The sequence below is a fragment of the Homo sapiens genome, chromosome 7 (genome assembly GCF_000001405.40).
Source record: "Homo sapiens chromosome 7, GRCh38.p14 Primary Assembly".
Classification (NCBI taxonomy): Eukaryota; Metazoa; Chordata; class Mammalia; order Primates; family Hominidae; genus Homo; species Homo sapiens.
This window is the reverse complement of record NC_000007.14, coordinates 36,523,804-36,542,827: the sequence shown is the minus strand read 5'-3', so window position 1 is coordinate 36,542,827 and position 19,024 is coordinate 36,523,804. Positions and strand designations below refer to the sequence as shown.

General features: G+C 43.9%; 1 protein-coding gene across 16 annotated transcripts in view, besides 3 other annotated features; it reads left to right on the top strand.

The window, feature by feature from the left end:
• AOAH (acyloxyacyl hydrolase) overlaps positions 1 to 19,024 on the top strand; it is a 211,554-nt gene that overhangs the window by 181,667 nt on the left and 10,863 nt on the right. For 13 of the 16 annotated variants that reach the window (NM_001177507.2, XM_011515334.3, XM_017012102.3 and 10 more), the window contains 4 exons: positions 2,337 to 2,509; positions 10,484 to 10,542; positions 10,622 to 10,681; positions 12,314 to 12,410. In NM_001177507.2, the coding sequence (NP_001170978.1) occupies positions 2,337 to 2,509; positions 10,484 to 10,542; positions 10,622 to 10,681; positions 12,314 to 12,410 (389 nt within the window). Of the gene's footprint in view, positions 1 to 2,336; positions 2,510 to 2,783; positions 5,067 to 10,483; positions 10,543 to 10,621; positions 10,682 to 12,313; positions 12,411 to 13,605; positions 14,654 to 19,024 lie in introns of those variants that run through there. The other 3 variants (XM_011515339.3, XM_011515340.3, XM_011515341.3) reach the window with 3 other exon arrangements.
• Positions 15,531 to 15,825: an enhancer, noted in NCBI's record as "tiled region #12778; HepG2 Activating non-DNase unmatched - State 22:ReprW, and K562 Activating DNase matched - State 8:EnhW". NCBI's record gives its function as "activates a minimal TATA promoter and a strong SV40 promoter by Sharpr-MPRA in HepG2 and K562 cells {active_cell/tissue: HepG2 | K562}" and the evidence as "EXISTENCE:reporter gene assay evidence [ECO:0000049][PMID:27701403]".
• Positions 15,610 to 15,754: an enhancer, noted in NCBI's record as "145 bp enhancer 148 fragment used in the MPRA reporter construct; PK_construct_3562". NCBI's record gives its function as "activates an SV40 promoter by MPRA in HepG2 and K562 cells {active_cell/tissue: HepG2 | K562}" and the evidence as "EXISTENCE:reporter gene assay evidence [ECO:0000049][PMID:23512712]".
• Positions 15,677 to 15,687: a transcriptional cis regulatory region, noted in NCBI's record as "NFE2L2 motif; MPRA enhancer 148 activity is reduced when this motif is scrambled". NCBI's record gives its function as "necessary for full MPRA enhancer 148 activity {active_cell/tissue: HepG2 | K562}" and the evidence as "EXISTENCE:site-directed mutagenesis evidence [ECO:0005528][PMID:23512712]".

The window sequence follows — 19,024 nt, the reverse complement described above, 5'->3', positions numbered from 1 at the left end:
TGTGCAACCAACGATATCTAGTTATTATATTCCTAATGGCTATATAGAGTTCTATTGCATGGGTGTACCATAATTTATGTATTTAGGCTTTTATCTTTTTCCAGTGGTACACTATACCAAGCAACATTACAATATTCGTATGTACATTTTTGCACATTGGTGGAAATGTTACTATAGGATAACTTCTTGAAAGTGAAATTCCAAGGTCAAAAGTTAAGCCAGCTTCAAATTTGGATACATTTTGAAAAATTGCCCTCCGAAAAGGCAGTGCCAATATTCATTTATGAGCTCCCTTAAAAATGAGAATTATGGATCCCTGGGGGCCCCTTTCTGCCCCCTCTTCCCATATCACTTATGCCCTGGGTCCAGCCTCTGAGTGATGGACTTATTTTATCTGGTTCACAATCTGTATTAAGTTCCCTGGAGCTGCCATAACAAAGTACCAAAACTGGATGACTCAAAACGCAGACATGTATTCCATCTCAGTTCTGGATGCTTAAAGTCCAAGATCAAGGTGTCCGTGGGGCCATGCTCCCTCTGAAAGCTCCAGGGAAAAATCCTTCCTTTTGTCTTCCCACTTCTGGTGGCTTCCAGCGATCCTCAGCACTCTTTGGCTTGTGGCAGCCATAACCCCAGTGTCTGCTTCTGTCTTCACATGGCCTTCCTCCTGGTGTATGTCTGTGTGTCCTCTCCTCTTCTTATAAGGATTCAGTCATTGAATTTAAGGCCCACACTAATCCAACATGACCTCATCTTAACTAATGACAACCATGAAGACCCTATTTTCAAGTAATGTCACATTTTTAGGGACACTATTTAACCCACTATCATTAGGGAAACTGGAATTTTAAGTACACAAAAGAGAAAGTAACACTGTAGCATTATTCCATTTAGGGTAAAGACAGGCAGTTAGAGTGTAAAGAGTAGATGAAAACTCTAGAAAATTCTGTATTCTACTCCCAAGTTAATGCAGGTTAGGATCCGAATCCAAATTTGTTGTGTTCCTGAAGGTGTGTGCAAAAGTCAATTGTACAAAGAAATGAACAATAATAAACTTATATTAATGCCAAAAATACTTTAGCACCCCTTGCCTTTTAAACATAGCTTTTTAAAATAATTTCAACTTGTATTTTAGATATGGGGGTACATGTGCCAGTTCATTGCATGGATATATTATTGTACGACGCTGAGGTTTGGAGTACAAATTACCTCATCACCCAGGTGGTGAGCATAGCACCCAAACATAACTTTAAATCAACCAATGAGTGCAATTTTAACATAACTTCAAATGATGTCTTGTAGTATTTTGTACATTCCTTACTTCTTTTCCAAACCAAATGAATATAAGTCAATCAGCTTAAATTCAATAAATGTCTGATTGAGGGTAAAGATTCGTCACTTTCAGCTCACTTAGGAGCTTCACCTTTGTCTGACATGCTTTGATTTTAGGCCTGTGTCTCTCATAACTACTTTCAGTACTTTCTTTTTTTATTTTACTAACTTTTATGAAATAAGAAGAGAAAATATAATTTAAAAATTCAAATACCCTCTATAGAGCACAAGCACTACTATATAAAGACAATAATGCGGGCTGGAATTGTTGTGAAATGCTGTTGCAGGGTATAGCCTGGAATAGAAATCCATCAGGAAATGCATGCAAGTCCAAATCCAGTGTAGAAATGGAAGGATAAAGAGCAAGATACAGTGTGGACGTATAATATAACTTAATCAGTAAGATTCTGTTTTCTAACTGTTATACATGTGAAAAGTTTTAAAGACCAAGTTATAGACCTCGAAGTGTCAAATAAATCATAAGTAATACCAGACCCCTTTCATTTCAAAAACTGTGTGTAAGTCAGGCCAGCGAGTTTATGCTACAGGAACAAAGGAACAAACAGCCCCTAAAATCTTAGTAGCATAAAGCAACAAATGTTTACGTCTCTCTCACACTACTTGTCCATCAGAGATCACCATGGGACTCTGTTCCAGGACTCAGATTGGTGAAGCAGCTATCTAGAACATTGCCTATACCCATGCAAAGAAAAGGAGCATTCTAGAAGGTGTCACATCACCAAATATGACACATGTCACTTCAGCTCACCACTCATTGGTTAGAACTAGTCACATAGTCCACTCAACCGCAAGGGAGTCAGTAAGTACAGCCTATGTGTCAGAAAGGTGGAAATCCAGGAATATTTTGCAAATAGCTCCAATGACCACCACACTGTGTGTGTGTGTGTGCGTATGTGTGTGTGATGTATCTTGTATTTGCGTGCAACTTGCATGCATCTATCCTTACAATCAACCAAGATATTTTCTGTTTATTCCACCAACAGGAAGAGTGACCCAGTCCCAGCCATGACCACTCCTGAGAAACTCTACTCCAACGTCATGCAGACTCTGAAGCATCTAAATTCCCACCTGCCCAATGGCAGCCATGTTATTTTGTATGGCTTACCAGATGGAACCTTTCTCTGGGATAATTTGCACAACAGATATCATCCTCTCGGTATCAGTTTGAAGATTCTTTTACTCTTTAATAACATCAATGTATATACAGTTCAATGTATATATGGTTCAAACCATATAGAAATGTGCCTAAAATGCCATCATGGAACATGGGTCAGGGTTGATAAAGGCAAGAGCCCCTAGGTGCAGTATCTAAAGGTCATTATCCAGAGGTGAGCCGAATCAGATCCAAAGGCAGAAAGGGCAGAAGTAATTCATGAAGAATTGGGACACATTGAAAGGTAAGTGCTCAAACCAGGAAATTCCTCTAACAGAAGGTGAAATGTAAAATGAGCTGAGGAAGCCCAAACAGGAGACAGACCCGTGAGTCAAAGACAGGGATTTCTCTGAACCTCAATGGTAAGTGCTTCCTGGTGGCCTGTTAGAATTCTCTAGAGCACAGTCCTCCAGCCTGCTCATTTCCTGCTTCTACACTCTCTTGGGGTCCTTAGCTCCGAAAGGCTTTAAAATGTCCCTGGAACCTTCTAATGGCAACTCAAATATTCTCGATACTGTACAAATAACATAAAAGTGCTAGTAATTTGCATTAGGAAGGTGTGATCCTTAACCCTGTGAGATAGATGTTTTTATCAACCACAATAATTTCATTTTATAGATGAAAAAAACCAAGGCTCAGAGAGGTTAGATAGCTTGCCAAATGCCACAGAGCTCACTGAATATGTTGTAGCAGGGCTCTGCTTTCTGTATTTCAGAGGAGAATGTATTTATTAAGTGCCAACTATGTGCCAGGCACTATTCTAGGCACAGGGTAACCAGCAGAAAACACAATAGTCCTAAGTTCCTGCCCACAGAAAGCTTATATTACAATGGGAAAATGACCCAAAAGTATATCAGAAGGTGATAAGTGCCACAGGAAGAAAACTGAGCAAGGAAGAGGAACAGGGAGCTGGCCTCAGTCTTCCCTGATGAGCATCTATAAGAAGAGGCCTGGGTACCTTCCTCTCAGCCCCATATTGACAGCACCTGCACCAATCTATCATGAAGAAGGGACTATCCCTTCCCTGGTGTTACCCCACTCACCTCCTGAGCCCAACCCACTAAAAGGTGCTGGCAGTCCAAGCACCTTCTTAGGAGTCAGGCGAGAAATTCAAAGAAGACCTGAAACTCATTCTTTCACGCCCTCCTTAGAGGGAGTGGGTGGGGAGCAAGATTTCCCATTTCAGGCCATCAAGAGCCTTTTCTTGCATATACTACTTTGTGTGAATCTTTCCAGTCTTCTCTTGTCCTCTTCCTGCAGTCCCTGTCTAAGACAAACACCCCACTTCTCCCTCAGGAAATTCCGCCTCTCCCCACCTGGGAAAAGAGTAAGGGTCCTTTAGCTAGCTCTCAAAGGCTCTGGTCTCTTAGTTGGAGGGACAATGGTGGACACCCACATTCCCTATTCTCCACCAATAAGGATGAAACCATTTTCCTCTTGAGTTACTCATGTATCACAAATATTATCATCCAAGCAAAACACTGTACAGCCTCACCTAAGTAGAGCATATTCTTCCTGTTCATGCAACTTTGACCACGCCGCCTTAGAAATAACATGATCACACATGGAACTTCACTCCATTCTGGGCTGCTTTGCATGCAGAAAGGACACCAACCTGGGCTAAGAATGTCTCTTTGAACCACGGGATATGAAAATTGTACATCTGCCCTCAACTGATTCTTTCAGATTTCCAAATGTGTCTCCTACACTAAGAAATGCTTTGGAAAGAGAAGCTGAGGGCAGGGAAGTTTGTTCCCAATTTACTCCATCACAGTAATAGCGACTTGACTTCCATTTTTCTGATTTCTAATCCCATTTTCTTTCCATGAACTCTGGTTACGCCACCTCCATAAATTCTTTCCGATATGCCATGCAATTCACTTGATTTATGAGACATGTTTGGTTTCATAAATATGAGACCAAAGGTAAGAATGACTCCATGCAATTTGGAAAGGACTAGGGGAAGGAAAAATGTATGTAAGAATGTAAGAATGAGGCCAGGCACGGTGGCTCATGCCTGTAATCTTAGCAATTTGGGAGGCCGAGGTGGGTGGATCAACTGTGGCGAGAGTTCAAGTCAAGCCTGGCCAACATAGTGAAACCTCGTCTCTTCTAAAAATACAAAAATTAGCAGGGTGTGGTGGCACACACCTGTGATCCCAACTACTCAGGAGACTGAAGCAGGAGAATCGCTTGAACCCAGGAGGCAGAGGTTGCAGTGAGCCGAGATCGCACCATTGCACTCCAGCCTGGGTGACAAGAGTGAAAAACAAACAAACAAACAAAAACTCTGTCCAAAAAAAAAAAAAAAAAGAATGTACGAATGGTATGTAAGCATGACTCCACGCAATTTGGAAAGGACTGAGGGAAGAAAAAAGGATGATTGGGGGATTTGTCCACTTCTGTGGATTCTCTAGGCCAGTGGTTCTCAACTGGGGGCAACCCACTCACCCCCACCCTGCTTTTATCACATCTGGAGATAGAAGAGGGGTGCAACTAGGCTGGGTGCAGTGGCTCACGCCTGTAATCTCAGCACTTTGGGAGGCCAAGGTGGGCGGATCACCTGAGGTCAGGAGTTCAAGGCCAGCCTGGCCAACATGGTGAAACCCTGCCTCTGCTAAAAATACAAAAAAAAATTAGCTGGGCGTGGTGGCAGGTGCCTGTAATCGTAGCTACTTGGGAGGCTGAGGCAAGAGAATCGCTTGAACCCGGGAGGCGGAGGTTGTAATGAGCTGAGATCACACCATTGCCCTCCACCCTGGGCAACAAGAGTGAAACTCAGTCTCAAAACAAACAAACAAAAAAAAAAAAAAAACAAGAGGGGTGCAACTAGCATCTAGTGAGTAGAGGCCAGGGGGTTTGCTAAACATCTACAATGCACGAGACGGCACCCCAAAATCAAGACTGTCAGTCATGCAAGGTTGAGAGACTGCTCTAGATTTTGCCTTTGCCTTGTCCTTCTCAAGTGGACTCTCTCTGGCTGCTAATCACACCCTAGCATGTACAGCACAAAATGGAAGGAAGAAAAAGATAGAACAAGTTTGTTCTACAGAAACATCAGTAGTTTTGGAAAAAAAAAAAAAAATCCAATCAAGGAGAAAGCTGAAACCATCTAAAATTTGTTTGATGCTTATAAGTAACTATTCACATCCTAAATTATCTCTGCTGCCTGGTTGCCATGGGAAATAAATTATACATTTCTCAACGAAGCATCAGGGTCTTTCCTAGAAAGGCTGGAGAAGTAGGTGGGATTTATCCGGCATCCCCAGGCCTCCTTTGACAGGACTCATCACTCACACAAGATGACAGACTTCAAGAGGGGGCTGCATTAGGAAGGTGTGATTCTTTTTTTTTTTTTTTTTTTTTTTTTTTGAGATGAAGTCTCACTATGTCACCCAGGCTGGAATGCAGTGGTGCGATCATAGCTCACTGCAACCTCTGCCTCCCAGCTTCAAGCAATGCTCCTGCCTCAGCTCCCCCGAGTAGCTGGGATTACAGGCGCCTGCTAACACACTGGGCTAATTTTTGTATTTTTAGTAGAAATGGGGTTTCACCATGTTGGCCAGGCTGGTCTCGATCTCCTGATCTCAGGTGATCCACCTGCCTCGGCCTCCCAAAGTGCTGGGATTACAGGCATGAGCCACCGTTCCCAGCTGAGAAGGCGTGATTCTTAAAACAACCCTGGGAGATAGATGCTTTCATTAAGCACAGTAATTTCATTTATTGCTCTCATGCTGTCTCTCTTCTGCTCTCACTCCAAACCCCATCTTTGGATCTTGAGCCAGCAGTGAAGCAGGGTTCATGCTGGGCCGGCCTCAGGGTTTGGTTGCTCTGCCCAGGCCACTGTAGATCTCATCTTAGTCAGCAGCTGGACACTCAAGTCTGATTCCTGGGCACCGTGTTAAGGGTTGTGCTAACAGTGCTGTGCAAAGAAAAAAAAAGTAGGGGGAAGAGGGTGAGGTCCATTTATTTGGGCCTAGAAATGTGGTGATCATAGTGTTTAGACTTGACTTTGGCCACTTCTTAAAAATTAAGAAAGCGTTCAGGAAACAGAGGCATGGTAGGAGACCCCCTGGTCAGTGACACAGTCTCTGCTGCCTCCTTTTCCCTCAGAAGGACAGGCAGGAACTCAGCCTGAGCAACCAGTGAAGGCAGGGTTAGATGCCACAGCACCCACGCAGCAGGACACTCAGAGGCCCAGAACAAGAGCAGGTGGGTGTCTCACTCCTGCCAGGGACAAGGGGGTGACGAATCTCTCCTCGCATCCCTCCTCAGCCAGGTTTGTGACTCACTACCCAGTCCGTCGCTGGCTGCCAAGGGCTGGGGCACCCCACAGCCTCTACTAGTAGCTAAAATTCCTGGTGAGAGTTTATTGTCTTTGTGAGGAATTACCAGACAGCAAGCCTCATACATTGGGATTCTACTGATGTGGGTCCTTTGAGAAAAGTCAAGCTTGGCCAGTCACAAGTCCTCTCAGCCATGATCTGTGAGGAAGGGGATCATTCCAGAAATATCTCTGAGATTCCTACTCTGTGCTTTTGAGAAAAGATGACATAAGATGCATCTGTGTCCTCAAATGAGAGGGAAAAAACTCCGCTAGCGAACTCAGCACATGGACCCTGACAGCGAACGTGCCGAGTGCCCATGAGGATGGGCAAGTCACAGGCATTCAGGGGCCATCCCAAGGGTTAGACTATGGAGAGGAAGCCAGGGACTCCTGGCTGCAAATTCGTCTGCTAGTGGGCCAGGCTTGAAGGGCTTCTGCCACAAAACAGCAACTTCATCTTGCCCCAATTACTCTTAAACTTGAAACCAAATGTCTTTTTAAAATACCTTGGTGTTTCTATTTTATCACGCACTTTCCCTCCGTCTGAATGAATGTGATTTTAACACATTTACATGGCATTTCATGGAGATGTGCCTGATCTTTGTTGGTACTAAGTTTCTACGGTACCTAAGATTTCAATTATGTTTCCAGAATTAAATAGATACCAGAGACCCTGCCCTAAAGAAGTTACAGATTATGAAGACGCAAACCGTCACTAAGCCAGCTAGGGAAGAACACACCTTTGATCTTCAGAGGAGCTTATGGCAAACACTGGGACAGCCCGCTGGCTCCCCACAACACACACAGGCACACAGACACACACAAACACACACACACAGACACGGACACAGGTACACACAAGCAGACACATACACACACAGACACAGACACACACAAACACACACACAGAGACACAGACACACACGGATACACACACACAGACACATACACACACACAGACACACACACAGACACAGACACACACAGATACACACAAGCAGACACACACAAACACACACACAGAGACACAGACACAGATACACACACAGACACAGAAACACACAAAAACACAGACAGACAGAGACACAGACACACACGAAGACACACAGAGACACAGACACACAGACACACATGAAGACACACAGATACACATAGACAGAGCTCCTCAGCCCCTGGTGATTCCTGGCCACTGTGGGACAGTCCTCCTGGCCTGCCCCTGGGCTTTCTTGATCAGCTTTCCTATCCAGATGGACTTTCTAACCAGGGAGTCACAGACACAACCTCTCTTCATGCACCCCATAGAAGTAGGATCAATAGGCCAAAATTACATTAAAGAAACAAAGATAAAAGGTAATGCTTAAAAAGAAAGAGTGGGGGACCAACTGATATTGCCAATAAAGCAGAAAGTGTAAGAACCATTTCCCTCTTCCCTTCCTCGAAACCATAAGCCCATCGCAAGCACCCCTAGCCAATCTTCCACATGACCAGCCCCAGAGTCCCTACCCTCTAACAGGCAGAAACACCAGACAGGAGGGACACTGATTCATTGCAACTTTCCCAGGTTCTTCTAAATGCACCTAATGTGCCCTCATCCTGTTCAGCAGACCTAGCCACCCACACTAAGGATGTTCCCATTCTCAATCAGGTCCAGCTGGAGGTGGAGCCAGGCGACAGAGGGAAAGGGAGAGGGACTGAGGAGGTGCAGAAGGGAGGTGCCCCTCAGGGTCTCATTGGGAGCTGTGCTGGCCATCAGCAGAAGGACAGCAGGAGAGGGCATCAGGCAGCGTGGAGCAAGGCCAGGGTGGGCCTTCATCCCCAAGGAGGAGCCAACAATGAAGTTCCCAGTGTCACAGGAGCAGGACAAACTCCGGCCCCTCTGGATATCAAAGAAATCCAGGCCTGAAGGTGGGGAGGGGAGAGTGCAAGGTCAGGCATGAGGTGCCACCTCCTGTCAGGCTGCAGAGAGATGCCGCCCCTCAGGGGGAGGGGACACACCAGGGCCCAGAGGGGCGGCAGGGCCCCAGCCAGGCTACCTAAGTTTCACTATGAGGCCCCAGTTCCAACATAGCGACAAGATGGCACCAGGCACCAAGGCAAAAGCAGCCAGACACTGGGCCCTCACAGAAGGTGGGGAGACGGAAGGCCGCAACTCAGTGGTAGCCCCCAGAGGGAAAGAGCGAAGCCAGGAGAGCACGTGGAGGACCCAGGGTGGGGAGTGGAGAAGGAAGATGTCAGTCACTGCAGCTGAGACACATTCAGAAAGGGAGCAAATGACAAAAAGTACACACACACAAACACACACACACACACACACACGCACACAAAATAGAGGGAACAAATCCTCAGTGGGTAGAAGTAGGAACTTGGGGGAAAATGGAAGCTCAGTGTTGGACCCATAAAATAAAAGCAAGGACGAAAGCCAAGGATTTGGGAGTCATTTAAAATGTGAAGATACAGAAGCCTGTACAGAAGACAGACCTGGCGGGTCACTGTGACTTTAGTGGCCATAATGAGCCTGTGGCTTTCCTGTCTTGGGACTCACTCACCTACACAGAGAGATAATAAATTTTTTCTCTCTGACAAGAAAATTGAATCTATCTTCCAGTCTAACTAATCAGAGGTATAAGTGAAAAATAAGACTGTGTTCTATCACCTTCAATCTTTCTCTTCATTCTGAGATAGGTCCTATTATCTTCCTTTATGTTTTCAAGAGTGTGAGGAGTGTTAATGGATACAGTGTCAGTCATTCACCCCCGAGATTTGGGGAGACCTGGATTTTGTGTGTCAGCCACAGCATGAAAGTCAAATTGCTTCAGCGGGGTGGATATGCTGGAAGCGGGGTGGAGCGGTGTTGGAAGAGAGAAGAAATCACCCCCACAGATTCTGGGACTATAGCTGATGTTCAGAAAAACTGGATGAACGCTCATCTGGTACTTTTCACTTTATTATGTACCTCTGTAACTTGCACTAAAAAATAAGGGTGTCTACTAATTAGGGTCAAATAAGATATCCACTGGACAGCCCATAATCCAGTGCCACAGAGACATGAGGTACTGCCTCCCCATCCCATGGGCCAACCAAGTATTTCGTATGGCTTTCAGTTCACCAACTGCAGGGAACTACGTGGTCAGAGCTTCAGATACTCAGAATGTCCTGCCAGGCCCTCAGTGTGGGATAATTCGGTCAGACCTGAGCGTTTCATAAACCTAGAAAAGGGGATTAGGTCAACCGCCACCTCGAATGTTCCCTGTGCCCCATGCAGGGAGCATTTCATACCAGGGCCAGGAGAAAGTACTGCTCTTAAAGGGCTTTATCCAAGGCATCCTGGTTCACATTGAGCTGTAGGATACTTGCATTTCTTTTTCCTGAGTCCAGATGAGGCCACTTCCCCCAGCCCCATCCAGGCCCATGCCCACAGCTCTATATGGCAGTGAGTTCCTCAGGGCTCCTCCTCAACTCTGGGTCTGAATTTCTAGAGGCTCAGAAAGGAGGAAAGCACAGGCATTCTTCAAGAGCAATGCTGCATGAAAAATCAGGGGAACACCCTGGAAATAGTGACTTTCTGCAAGGGAGGCAGGGAAGCCCCCAGGTGCCTCTAAATGCTGCTATTGCCGAGTGGATGCAATCTACCAGACCTCTCTGTTTTCCAGGCCAGCTAAATAAAGACATGACCTATGCGCAGTTGTACTCCTTCCTGAACTGCCTCCAGGTGAGCACTCACTGGCTTGCTTCAAGGCCCGCTTACCTACCCTGATCCTCTGTAATCAAAAGTGTTTTCCCGCTCTCAGGTCAGCCCCTGCCACGGCTGGATGTCTTCCAACAAGACGTTGCGGACTCTCACTTCAGAGGTATGACTGTCACAGGCCTTTTGATACCATCTTTGATCATTCTTTCCCTGTGTTTGCTGCAGAGTTTTCACTGGGGATGGGATCCTGGCAGGCAGATGGTCTCCAAGCTGGTGAATAACAAAATCAAACCTTCCAGGTGCTTGAGGAGCCGAGAGAACCTGGTGCACCCTGTCTCCCTCTGTCTTGCTCTGGGTCTGTCCTCTGCTGACTGTGTTTCTCAGCCACTGTCTCTCTCGTGTGTACACATGTGTGTACACACCCTCCCCTGTGCACACGCACACATACACACACACACACACACACAACCTCTTAAAGCTGGTCCTAAGCATAGTTGTGGAGTTGGAGAGAGCTGATTGAGGTTGGCCCCTATGCATGACAGAAGTTCTCCCAAGGTAAATAAGAACCTTCCTCCCTTCTCTCAGGGAATCCATTGCTCAAAGAACATGGTTTACACTTCTTTCACAGATGGCGAATAATCTCTTTGTAAAAGACTTATTGAGGCTGGGCGCGGTGGCTCACACCTGTAATCTCAGCACTTTGGGAGGCTGAGGTGGGAGGATCACTTGAGGTCAGGAGTTTGAGACCAGCCTGATCAACATGATGAAACCCCATCTCTACTAAAAAATACAAAAATTAGCCAGGTGTCATGGTGGGCACCTGTAGTCCCAGCTGCTCAGGAGGCTGAGGCATGAGAATCACTTGAACCCAGGAGGCGGAGGTTGCCGTGAGCCAAGATCGCGCCATTGCATTCCAGCCTGGGCAACAGAGCAAGACCCTGTCTCAAAAACAAAAATGAACAAACAGACAAAAGACTTATTGAACATTTTTTACATAAAAAGCATATTTCAATTTTTTAGAACTTGGAGAACACAAAAAAGCATAAAGAACAATAACAAATATCACGCAAAATTCCACCACCCAAAGTTAGTATATGTGTATGTCTTCCCATTACCACTTCTAGAGATCAATATATTTGGTTTTTGCCTACATAGTATGAGAATGCACATACTCTTTTATGCTTTCCAATGTTCATAGATTGTTTCTCCACACCATAATGTTGTAACCATTCTAAAGTTTATACGTGACTATATTATGATTTATTTCATCTTTTGTTGTTGGACATTTAGATTGTTTCCAAATTTACACTATGATAAATAGCATTGTGATGAGCCATCGTATATCTAAAGGTGTAAGTCTCTGTGTACATCTCAATTTCCTTGAGACAAATTCCTAGAAGAATTACTGGGCCAAAGGGTATGTCCATGTTTAAGGATTTGATCCATATTGCCAAATTGCTCTCTAGAAAGGTTAAGCTAATGACATTCTCATTCACCTACCCATGACAACATTCAATATCATGGTTATCTTACCTTTGCCAGTCCCAAGGGTGTTAAAACTAGTATCACTAATTTACACTGATTTGATTCCTAATGAACATTAACATTTGTCTCATGTTCACTGGCCATTTGTACGTGACTAGAATTTAATGTGCAGAGCTGCTGTCTGCTGATGGCTTGGAGAAATGAAAGTAGAGTAGGATGGGGAAGATCGATTTCTTTGTTCTGCCTGAATTGTCTCACTAAAGCCAAAGTCTAGATTTCATGAAATTCTCCCTGTTTCCTCTCTCTTCAGAGAGCAGAGCAACTCTCCAACACACTGAAAAAAATTGCAGCCAGTGAGAAATTTACAAACTTCAATCTTTTCTACATGGATTTTGCCTTCCATGAAAGTAAGTAGCTTTGTTTGGGTATTGACAGAAGATGAAAGCAGCAGCTAGTTTAGGGCCTGGGCAACTGGTTTTATACTTTTATAAGCCACCAGGCAGCAGATTCGGCAGGGTTACTCCTGCCTATTCTGACACACTAATAGCTCTCAGTATTGAAAAAAAGATAAAATGTGGGACTTTTTCTGAAAAAGTTGGGTTCAGCATTACCTCTGTACTTCACCATCATTTTAGAATCCCTGATGCAATAGAGCCAGTGACTGGTTAGAAAGAGCTTTGAGCTGGCAACCTACAGGTTAATGCACTCACTAACCTGTTCTTGTCGGGTTAAAAGCCCTGGTTACCTGATGGATGTGACAGAAATGAGGGATATGGTGGCACCTCTCACAGTGGGCCCTGAAATACCCAGGGACTCAGGAGCAGTGCAGATTCCCACACCCCATACAGGATGAACTTAATCAGAACCTCTAAGGGAGGGACCAAAGAACTTGCCCATGGCAAAGTGATCAACCCATGTCCCAACTTTCTGGAAGGAATATTACTAAGTTGCTTTTTTAGCATTCTGTCCAAACACCGGAGTCACTGCTGAGTGGCCACACAAAAACAGGCATGATTACTATAGCTACTGATTTACTCTTTACATCTTGAGTCTGAAAAATTATTGCTTATTGACTGTAATCTTTCCTGATTCATTTTCATTGCTAAGCAATTTTTATACAAGAGCAAAGCCCCCTGTTGACTGCCAGATGAGATAATGCTAATGAAGGGTTTCACAGTGTAGGCGAAAGATGGAAGATTCCTCATCCAGAGTTTATCATCTCTGTCCCCCACCCCCAGTGCCCCCATCCGCAGCATCTGGGTTGGAGCAGATGGCCATCATGAATTATCAAATATTACATTCACTGACATGTTTTGCATTGCAGACTCTAGTAGTTCAATTCTGAACATCCTTTCAACAAGACTGGTCTCCCTTAACTAGATTTCCTGCCTAGGTGATACACATTTCTCTCGTGGGGAGAGACATTTTGATAAATAACTTCTCATTAAAATGCAGAGTTAAAGACCCATTAATGAATTCCTGGTGTAAACAAATGCACCACCAAGTGATCTTTGATCATCATCAACCTTGAATATAGATAAAGTTATTAAAAATATAATAATGTCTAACACTCACATGGGACTTTTTTTTTTTACTTTCCAGAGTGATCACTAGCTCTGTCATTTATTATCTCTGGGACTGCAGGCAATTCTCTGAATATTTTTAAACTCCCTTTCCAGCCCTGGAAATGGGGATACCATATCTTCCTAACAAATCTCTGTGATGATTCTATGAAATAATGTGTCATCCTCCTAAATGTTATGCCTGGTACACAGAAAAGGTACCATTTCCTTACACCCTTGCTACTCAATGTATGCTTTTGGATAAGCAAAATCAACACCACCCAGGAGCTGGTTATAAATGCAGAATTCCAGGCCCTACTCCAGACCTACCTAATCAGAACCTGCATTCAAACACAACCCACAGGTCATCTCTATGCCCATTAAAATTTTGTAAATGGTTTGTGAAGCTGAGATGGGAGGATCGCTCAAGTCCAGGAGGTCAAGACCAGCCTGGGCAACATTGCAAGACCCCATCTCTAAAAACAAAACATCTTTTTTTATTAGCCAGGCATGGTGGTGCATGCTTGTAGTCCCAGCTACTCTGGAGGTTGAGATGGGGGGATCACTTGAGCCTGGGTGGTTGAGGCTGCAGTGAGTTGTGATCACGTCACTCAACTCCAGCCTGGTTGACAGAGAGAGACCTCATCTCTATAAAAATAAAAATAAAGTTTAATAAATGGAGCTCTATAATGCCTCAAGATTAAGAGCTGGGTCAGTCATCAGATTTATAAGTCCTGCTATGTGCCAGGAGCTATGAAGGTGCTGGGAACATAATCGTCAACAAAGCAGAAGAGTCCTTATCTCTGTGGAGGATATAGAGAGAAGAGCTTTATTCTTGTCTGTCCAGAATTCCACTGGTGAACTGATATGCTTGGAAGCAGGGCCTCATCAGCCCTTTCTTGTCCTCACAGCAATAATAAACACAGTGAAAAAGCAAAAAGTTGAATTAAGCTGAACTGAACATTCTACATCAACGTGGGAGAAAGCTCCTAGGCATTTCTCCATGCTTGGCGATTCCCATCAACAGTTCAAGGAACTTCCTGTTTTGTAATCTCCTGCTATTTGTTTAAAATAAATGTGAAGATCTAGTTTTGGTGCAGGGCCTTCTTCATCTTCTCCTCAGGAAGTTAGTGGGCACCCCACTAGGGAAGGCATGTGGGCACAGTGAGACCACTGTGGGACCTGCCTCCATGAACATCTGATACAGCACCTGCATTTGATGTCTAGGTGCCGCCATGTCCACCTCTGAAAGAGCTAGCATTTCTATCTGGTTTTCAGGAACCGTGGTAGTGTCCTGACTTAAGCTCAGAGTCAGGTACTGCAAAAGACATTTTTAACTTGAAATTTTAGCATTTTCCAAAGCAGTGGGAGGGATAATCCCCTCCCAGATCCATCTCTGTGGGTAACCACCCGTGCCTGGGCAGCTCATCTTCCCAGAAACCCACCCCATGTGGGTACGATGTGTGGTTATAGAAAGAGCCCAGAATTTACAACTGTCTTCCTATTCCAGCTCAGACACAGAATAGCTGGGTGACCTCAAGTGAATTAAATAACCACCCAGCCTTTGTTTCCTTGTATGTAGGATAGAAATAACTAACCCACGTAAAGATTAAGTAAAACAAAACTTGTAAAGTTGCAAAGACTCAGTAACTGTTAGTGGCCGTCCCCCGCCACCACCATCATCCGTGTGTATGAAGCAACTCCTTCACTCCTGATGTCCAACCCACCCCCCAGCTCCATTCACGCCTGTGAAGTACTTTGAGTTCCTTCGAGGAAGGTATGGTAGAAATGCATCCATTACCAAGAAGAAAAGTAATCTTTTATCAGAAATTAAAATCCTACAGAGTCACTTATTAAGTCTGCAGTCCTGATAGTCCCATGAAAATCTCTCCTCTCATTTTGGTACTGTATGTGATCTGACAATTGTGTCAAAAATATTCTCATTTTTCATGATACTAAAATTCACAATTTCACATCCTTGTGACAGAGCAAATTGCAGTTAAGGGTCCCTGTCACTTGAGGGTAGGCACAAGACCCATTCATTTTCCACCCTGACAGCCTCAGTCCAGCACTGAAAGATGATTACTCATCTCCAAAGACTTTCTGTCTCTTGCTGACTCATTCTCCAACTGGTTATGAACTAAACAGAGGCAGCAACTTTTCCTCCCTTCAGGAAATGCCAACTTGAGCAGGTGATATTCTTTTTCTTTGTCTGCACCACACCTCCCCAACAGAGGAAAGAAAATGCCACTTGGCTGACAAAGCCATTTTTACACTGACAGTTTAAATATACCTCCAGCTGCCCTCAACTTCCCAGACAGCTCAATTGGCATAAACCTGGCTCTTGGTTCCCCGCACCATGAATACATTTGTAAAATCAGCCAATGACTTTATGGGGCTGGCCAGAAAGCAGCCTTTTCTTTAAAATATCTGCTAGTGTTGCTGTTCATCAAACAGTGTTTGATGAACAAGTGTTTTATGAGTCTTCCTCCCTTGTTTCTATTACATCTTTGAAAAGCTGGTCATTAGCAGCTTCTTTGACTTTACAAATAAACTACATTAAAGAAGAAGAAAACAAAACAAAATACATTATGCTCCAAATCTCCACAGATCATCCATGATCATTCAAGAAACTTAATCCAGATATTCTGAAGAACAAATAGGAATTCATTGGTCTATTTTAAGTTATGGTCCAAAGTAGAAAGGAAGCTGACCAACTTACCATGTTATCTTTGAATGGACCTCCCACTCTAAAATCAATCAAGGAAAAAGTAAAGACCAGTGTCTGGTATTGCATTTCTCCCAAGAAAGCAGAATTTCATCCTGAGATAAACAAAAAAAGGATCTTCCCTTTGACATTGGTCACGATACAGATAAAATCCTAAATAAACACTTGCCTGTGAGTTACTGAAGCTCCCTTAAGTTTTACTGTCCTGATGGCTACATGTATGTGATGACCCATATCCCTCACAGACATAATAATCATATGGGGGAAAAAAATGATGTTTACCTCTGTAAATAAACAGGTTGTAGTCTTAATAAACTTGGAGCATTTTCTTTTAACACCTATTGTATTATTTTATATGGCAAGCAAGTTCTTCCAAAGGCTGGACTCCCTTGTAGTTGCTGCCTAATGTAGAGAAGGGATGGGGGTTGAGAGACAGGAATAATTTCCTAGCAGGCAGGAATGTGTTATCATCGACATTATTTAGAATTGCTGGACTATGGTGATGACAAAAGGTGGACCTCTCCCACTGCCCCCAACCCTAGGGTACGCTCCTATTCCCCCGCAAAGCTTGGCAAGTAAATATCCCTCCTCTTTCTTTGTGCTTTTTCTCCTGAGTTTTCCTTTTATGATCCCCACAATTATGGGATTGCTCAAGTCTCCAAGGGAAGGAGAAGGGAATGGTCATCTCTTCTCATTTTGAAAACACAGTATAGGTTGAATATCCTTATCCTGAATGCTTGGGACCAGAAGTGTTTCAGATTTTGGATTTTGGGGGATGTTTTTGGATTTTGGAATATATGCATTATGTATACTTACCAGTTGATCATCCTACACACAAAATCCAAAATTTTCCAGTAAGCATTTCCTTTCAGCATCATGTTGGCACTCAAAAAGTTTTGAATTTTAGAGCATTTTGGATTTTGGCTTTTTGGATGTGGGATGCTCAACCTGCATCACTAACTCTGATATCTGAATTATCTTGTTCCATGAAGACATCTATCAACACCTCTCTTTCTTTCTCTAAGGGCCATAGTTTTCAGTTTGGTAATTAGTAACACACAAAAAATGCAAATCAAAATGAAAATAGCCTAGAATTACTTTAAGCCTAGATGCCAAAATTGAATCACAGTCTAAGAAACTCATGTATAAGCAAATCTCACCTTTGTAATATCAGGCTCCTAGTAAACATTCTTCTCAAGGAACATGATATTGTTTAAACTGTGTTTCCCTAACAGGTTCAAATTTGCTTTCTACTGTGGATTTTCCAGAGCTCCTGATCACCATAATCCTTTTCTAGACTTTTTATTAGCCATCTCAGGCATGGGCTTTGATTCAACATGTCATTCAACTCTCTTTGCAAACATGGAGAGTCAGAAAGTATTTAAGAGGCTTCCTACCACCACTGCATCAGATGACCCCAGGAGAGTCCAGGTCAGGTCCATGGTTTGCTGTGCATCTATTTATTACAAGAGGACTCTGCCTCATGTCTTATTCATCCAACTCTTCACAACTTTTTAGTAGGCTCTGTCTGAAGTCTTGATGAGGCTCAATTCCCATTGGCCTGCTGTTATTAGCATACCTGGGAATTTTTTAATAACTGTCTTATCTCAGAATGCTGTAATAAAATACCATGAACTGGGTGGCTTATAAACAACAAAAATTTATTTCTCACAGTTCCGGAGGCTAAAAGTTTAAAATCAGGATGCCAGCATGGTCAGGTTCTGGTGAGGGTCCCCTTCCGTGTTGCCGACTGCCAACTTCTCATCATATCCTCACATGGTTTAAAAAAAAAAAAGAGTGAGCGAGCCCTCTGGGGTGCATTTTATTTGATTTATTTATCTTTTAATTTACTTATTGTCGAGACAGAGTCTCACACTGTCTCCCGGGCTGAAGTGCAGTGGCGCAATCTTGGCTCACTACAATCTCTGCCTCCCATGTTCAGGCGATTCTCCTGCCTCAGCCTCTCGAGTAGCTGGGATTACAGGTGCCCACCACCACACCTGGCTAATTTTTTTTTGTTTTTTTTTTTTTTAGGTTTTCTTTTGTATTTTTAGTAGAGACGGGGTTTCACTATGTTGGCCAGGCTGGTCTCGAATGCCTGACCTTGTGATCAACCCTCCTAGGCCTCCCAAAGTGCTGGGATTACAGGTGTGAGCCACCGCACCTGGCTGGGTGTGAATTCATGGGCATGAATTCCATGATGGGGGCTCCATCTTCACGGAATAATTACCTATGCCATCATACTGCGGATTAGGGTTTCAACACAGGAATTTGAAAGGGACACAAACATTCAGTCCGTGCAACACCCTGTTGCGATTGTCTTTCATTCTTTCTTTTCTTTCTTCTGTTAGCATCTGTACAACATAAGGTGAAACCCAAATAAAAATAAAGGGAAAAGTGGGAAAAGGGACAAAACGTTAATCAAGAACTTTGGTGAAGCAAAAAGGAGCACAAGTAGAATGGAGATGATGTCATCTCTGAAGTCACGGAGGGGATGGGGAGGCTGACATTTCACCTGGCCCGGGCCTTTCTGCATCGTTGCTGATTTTTGTTTGAGAGACTCCTGTGGGACTGCAAGGAGAGATGGGACAAAGACCATAAAAGGACAAAGAGAACTGAGAGGGCTCAGTGGTGGTGATCCTGGCTCTCTGCATTTGAAGAAATCTTTCCAGATGGCTGGTTCTCCATTGATGGCAATTTGTTGGATGTTCAGATTGGGAATGGCAGGGGA